Source organism: Homo sapiens, chromosome 7, assembly GCF_000001405.40.
Source record: "Homo sapiens chromosome 7, GRCh38.p14 Primary Assembly".
NCBI classification, from domain to species: Eukaryota; Metazoa; Chordata; class Mammalia; order Primates; family Hominidae; genus Homo; species Homo sapiens.
In genome coordinates, this window is record NC_000007.14 from 45,186,312 (window position 1) to 45,191,122 (window position 4,811).

Below are 4,811 nucleotides of genomic sequence, written 5' to 3' on the forward strand. Positions count from 1 at the left end.
GGAGCCCCTCTGGACCCTGGACCTGCATGGGTTTCCTCTGGCCAGAGCGGGTCCCTTCCTGACTGTGGCAAGTTTCGGGCATGCAGAAGGCTGCCGGGGTCCTCTAATAGGGTGACTGGCCCAGGCGGTCAGTCTGGTGCAGCCTTAGTACTCGGGTCACCATGGTGGTTGTGGTGGAGTGCAGCCACAGCCCTGCCTCATGGGGGTGGAGGACTCATCCCCGAGTCTGTTCTCTGGGCAAACCCAGCTGTGGTCCACAGGTCTTCCTTTCTGGACACACCCAGAAGACCCCACCTGCTTCACTCCTTGAAGAAGGAATCAACCCTTAGCCCTGAAAGGCCCCCTGTGGCTCAGCTTCAGGACTGGACTGGCGTCACAGGTGATTAGAATTAACGTGGGAATGACCGCTCATAGGAAGCAGCCGCCATGAGTATGCGTGTGTGTATAAGTGTGTGTGGATGTGTATATTTGTGTGTATATGTGTGAGCATATGTTCATGAGCGTGCATGTGGGTACATGTGAGTGTATATTCCTGAGTGTGTGTGTGACTGTGTGTACAAAGTGTTGGCAACTACAGCAAGATGATGGCTGAACCCTGTGTGGGTTGTACACATTTGCCACAGTCCATGCCCTTTGTCACGTGAAAATACTACTACTCGTAAGTGAGAAGAGTGAATGCCAGCAACTCTTGGGGACTGTTGTGGCTGGGTTGTGTCTTTAATCATTTCATCTGCCAAGGTTTTTGCACCACTGTGTTGAGAGCTGTGGGGATCACAGAGACATACAAGGCACAGCCTGACCCCCAAGGGTTCCCCGACTTGTTGGAGAGGCAGATATGCAAGGCCCAAATGCAGTGTGCACAGTGAGTGAGGCAGCTGAGAGGTAGGTTCCTCCGGGGATTTTGAGGAAGGTTGATGGTTGATGGAGAGGGTTTTTAAGCTGGATCTTTAAGGGTGAGTAGGAGTTTTCCACTGCAGGAGAAGAGTGTCATGAACAGAAGCTCAGAGATGTGCAAGAACATGGTGTGGGTGGAGCCCAGGCTGTGTGGGTCAGGTGGGACTGAAAGTGTGAGCAGGGCCCAATTTGAGGAGGCAGGAGGGGACGGTTTGGGGATGAAGGTCTCTGCAAATGCACATTATTTAAGTCATTGATGGCTTCTCTCATGGGGCCTCTGTGTAACTTGCTCCCTCCAGCCCATTCTGATTCCAGAACCGCTCTGCACTGGGCGCCATGCAAGGCTCTGGGAGACAGTGGGAAGGGAGCCGCTGTTTCTGCCCTGTAGGGAAAGGGAGAGACTCTCCATATCAAAACACAACACGGAACAAGACAGCTACTCTTTGTACAGTGGCCTTAGCAGAGGCACTTCAGTGGGTTGCAACGGCTCATCAATGGAAGTGTGAATTCTTTTTGTCCACCTCACCCCTGACTACTCAGCAAACAAAACCTGGGAGTACACAGGGTTTGTAGTGAGGGCAGCTATTAGAGGGTAGCCATCTTTATCCTTGGCAGAGGATATCCTGCACCGGTCTATGGGACCTGCCACTGAGGTCACTGTGGTGGCAGCTGTTGACCTCATTCACTGGAGGCTGAGCCTATGGGAGCATCTTGTTAAGGAGCAGGTGACCTTTATTCCCTGAAATTGCCCCATGTGTGGTCTGCAAGCCAGTTCTCATGACTGAGGAGTGGACTTGCCAGACTGCAGAAATCCAGGCCTGAAGAAGTTATGTTGCCAAAAGGGGAGATCTCTAGAACACAGACCTGCCTCTCCATCAGGCCTGGCAATTACTGATGGTACCTGGGGCAGTCCAGGCAACGTGGGGGCCGAGCAGCTGCATCATGAACGGGGTCCTTGAGGACTCTGACTTCCATCTGAAGAGTGGTTGTGCGGAATTAAGAAGGAAATTTCCTGACCCTCTCTGGCAGGTTTCTGAAGGCCTGAGTACAGCGTGCTCTAAAACAGGCTTCAAGTCCACGCCGAGACTCAGCCCCGAGGATGTGGCCAGTGATGCTCACTCAGGGTGCTCCTGTCCTTACTCACTGGGGGAGGCATTTATTGATGAAATAGATTTGAATTTTTCAACTGATGGGATTTTGTTCACTTTTAAGACCCCAGTGGGTTGGAAAGGCTTTAAGAGCCCATGGAATTTCTTCTGATATATATAAAGTGAAAAAGTAGAATATAAAACAATGTAGAGGAACTGCTTCCGAAATGACATGAGAACTTCATGGACCAAACAACCATAACTAGTGCAAATCATAAAAAAACCCCAGACAACCGTTTAAAGTCTCTGGAAATTGTCTTAAGGCTACACAGCAAATGAAACATTTATTAAAGAAAATGTGTCAAATCTGGGTAAGAACAGGAGCATCTGTAGCACTGGAGCTGTGACTGGTTCACCTGCCCCACCCCCCCGCCCCCAACCCAGAGTCCAAGAAGACAGGGTTCTCTCTCTCTAGCTCCCAATCAAGGCATCTTGACATGATGCCCCTTGGAGGAGCAGGTTGCCAGCACTGCTCACCCCCACGCAGCTCTGCGCTGCAGGGGCCGAGCTCCAGGCAGGAGCGAGGGGTTGGCTTCCAACATGGTCCTTGAGAAGGCGAGGCACTACTTGTCCACAGCCTCATCCCTGCCTGCTGAGAGCCACGCACTGGGCAGCTCCTGGCCCTCTCGATGCCCACTGGCACAGCAGACCATGAGCTCCAGGGCACACTCAAATCCCCCACCTCCGTGAGACTACTGGATAAGGTTCCAGGAAGCGAGAGAGTCCACGGGTGAGAGGAGTGGGCTGGAGGGTGGGGGCCTGGATTTTCCTGAGGGGTGCTGAGGAGTGAAGTGGACTGGCCAGAGGCTGCTGGCCCAGGCTGTTTTACAGAGAGCAATGGGAGATATGGGAAGGGTGTGTTAGAGGTGCAGGTCACATGATGGGAGCAGCACATGGCAGAAGCGAGGGATCTTGAGGGGTCTTGGGCAGGAGGACCAGCCCCACCTCACCCCATGGGTGGGGACAGTGGAGGGGAGCTGGGGGCATCCACTTCAACTCTGGCTTCCTGTTGACAGGGAAGGACGGTCTGTCAGGGGACGGAGGGCCCCTCCCTCACACAGGCATCTCTATTTCCTTCAGGCCCTGGGCCAGCCTCCGCTTCCCTCAGGGTGGTTTCTGCTCTATTGGCCGTTGAGGCAGCGTGACCCTTCCTCCCTGAGCGGGAGAATGTTCCGTCCTGACCCCTTGCTGCCAGGGCTGTGAGCTCTGTGTCCATCTCTGTTCACACAGAGAGGCCGGCTGGCATTTCAAGGCACTGTCTTAATACCCTGGTGCCCCCTTCCCTGCAAGCCCCTACAGCCCTTCCCTCAGTGTCCTTGCTCGGACTGGCCTGGGCTCGTGCATCACAGGCATTGCGGCCAGGGGGCCTGTGATGCATGTGTCAGCTTTGGTTACACGCCTGGCATATGTGTAGACACAGCGATGGAGCAGCCACCCGGGAGGGCGCACAAGACCTGGCACCAGGGAGCAGAAGTGGGGGCCGAATATGTAGAGCCTGCTTTGGGGTAACTGAAGGGAAGAAGGAAAGCAGGACCGCAGGAGCATGGGGCCTGCACTGTTACCCACCAGAAAACCGCCTGACGTCCAGGAGGCCCACTCCTGGCCATGGTTACCAAGGAAGCAAGGTCGAGGAGAGAGCTGGTTGAAAATAACTTCCAGGTGGGCGTGGTGGCTCACGCCTATAATCCCAGCACTTTGGGAGGCCGAGGCAGGCGGATCATGAGGTCAGGAGATTGAGCCCATCCTGACTAACAGGGTAAAACCCCGTCTCTACTAAAAATACAAAAAAATTAGCCAGGCATGGTGGTGAGCACCTGTAGTCCCAGCTACTCGGGAGGCTGAGGCAGGAGAACTGCTTGAACCCAGGAGGCAGAGGTTGCAGTGAGCCAAGATCACACTACTGCACTCCAGCCTGGTTGACACATAGTGAGACTCCTTCTCAAAGAAAACAAAAAACAAAAACAAACCAAAAAAAACCTTCCTGTCCTTTTTTTTTTTTTTAAATCAAATTCAGTTAAAATTGGATTAACTCAACTTCAAATATAGTTGAAATGATTCCGGCAAATGGAGGGTGATCAGTCAGCACCAAGCGGCGAGGACAGGCCACTGGGAGGAAGAAGCCTCCTGAAGGTGCAGGCCTTAGTCAAGGAGCTGACCAGGAAAGTGGAAGAGATGACCGGAAAAGACCAGTTTCGGCACCTCTGACCTACCTGTACCAAGCATGTCGTTGGCCACATGTGGACCCCACCGGCCTGAACCTCCTGACAGGAGCCTGCCTTAGGCCACCAGCCATTCGCAGGACTGGGAGGCCGTGCACTGGGCTGGCTTCAGCACTGGGGCCTGGCTCCTTTCCTGATTTGCTGAGGAGCTGCAGGAAATCCCCCCACACCCCTATCCCATCTCAGTTTCCTCTGTCAGTCATGCAGTGGATCTGCGAGGGGGCCTCAGTGCATCCTGGGACCCCACCCTTCTTGTCCTTCCCTGAGTCACCCTCATTCTGTCTGGAATCCTCTGTGGCTGCTTTTCCACAAACTACACTCACTGGCAGAGTGACCCCTGGGGCTTTGGACCTCTGGGTATTATCAACATGGTAATGAGCCGGCAGGCCTATCATGGACACCTGGGGGGCGATCATGCTTGTCCACAGTTAGGTTTTCTAATGTATTTCTCTGTCCCTGGCTGTGACAGCCTGTGGAACTCAGAATGGAAGACAGTAAGGGGCCTGGACGCTTTGTTCCCACCTTGACCGGAGGCAACAATCTTCCTCTT

General features: G+C 53.8%; 1 annotated feature.

Moving 5' to 3' along the window:
* Positions 4,165 to 4,811: an enhancer, noted in NCBI's record as "H3K4me1 hESC enhancer chr7:45230075-45230721 (GRCh37/hg19 assembly coordinates)". NCBI's record gives its function as "activates a minimal SCP1, AML or CMV promoter by ChIP-STARR-seq in primed H9 embryonic stem cells {active_cell/tissue: H9 hESC(primed)}" and the evidence as "EXISTENCE:reporter gene assay evidence [ECO:0000049][PMID:30033119]".